This window comes from Homo sapiens, chromosome 1 (assembly GCF_000001405.40).
Source record: "Homo sapiens chromosome 1, GRCh38.p14 Primary Assembly".
Taxonomy (NCBI): Eukaryota; Metazoa; Chordata; class Mammalia; order Primates; family Hominidae; genus Homo; species Homo sapiens.
Window position 1 is genome coordinate 70,685,398 of NC_000001.11, and position 899 is coordinate 70,686,296.

The following is an 899-nucleotide window of genomic DNA, read 5'->3' on the forward strand; positions in this document are numbered from 1 at the left end:
TTTGTAGGCTTACTTCGTTCCCCAGTGCCATGCACTTCTGTCAGCACTTATTGTATTGGGTCATGCAGTTCAACCTCTAGGCCAGTAGGTGGTGCTTGGGGGTAAAAGCTGGCTGAGCACTTGTAATTGTGCCAGCAGATGTTGTAATGGGCTCTGCAGGTTGACCTCTGGGGTTGTAGGTGGCACTTACAGGAGAGAAGCAGCTATGGCGGTGGCAATAGGATTTATGTTTGGCCTTTGTTCAAACCAGGAGAAGTATTCGGATGTCTCAGGCAATGGGTGGGCTGTCTGTCCGGTGTTCTACCACTAGGCAGATGGGAGGAGCAAAGCCAGATGGGGCTGTGTTGGGCAAGCCCGTGTCCAGGCTCCCTGTGACAGGCACAAGTGCTGGCTCCAACAGGGGTTAGGTGGCAGCTGTCTTGCAACTGGGACAATTTTTCAGGCTGGTGGAGGCACCTCTACCACGCGAAAGCACCTGCTGAGGAGAGGGGGGATTTGGGGGGAAAGGGACAGCTGGGATTCCACAGCTCACTAGTGGGTGGTAGCACCCATCCAGCTCTCACAGCCTAATCCAGCAGTTCTCCCACTAGCATTTGGCCACTGGCAGCAGGCCGCGACAGCCAGTCCTGTCCCAAGCAGTCTGCCGTTCAGATTGCAAAGCTTCCCCAGGCCCTGAGGTTCCCTGCCCAAGACAGAAGATGCACCCCATGGCACACCCTTCCTGGATCAGTCTCACATAGGATGAGGTGCCCAGCTCCTGCACCGCGGCATGAACACATGCCACACTCTCTTCTTAATTCTGATGGTGGGATCTCCTCCTCCACTCAAGATTAGATTGACAATATCATCCCTTGGCCCCTGGACAGCTTGAGTCCTGGAGTGGGGGGATGTAATCAGGC

General features: G+C 55.1%; 2 annotated features.

Moving 5' to 3' along the window:
* Positions 1 to 50: a silencer, noted in NCBI's record as "silent region_990". NCBI's record gives its function as "represses an Ori minimal core promoter by ATAC-STARR-seq in GM12878 lymphoblastoid cells {active_cell/tissue: GM12878}" and the evidence as "EXISTENCE:reporter gene assay evidence [ECO:0000049][PMID:35858748]".
* Positions 251 to 310: an enhancer, noted in NCBI's record as "active region_1197". NCBI's record gives its function as "activates an Ori minimal core promoter by ATAC-STARR-seq in GM12878 lymphoblastoid cells {active_cell/tissue: GM12878}" and the evidence as "EXISTENCE:reporter gene assay evidence [ECO:0000049][PMID:35858748]".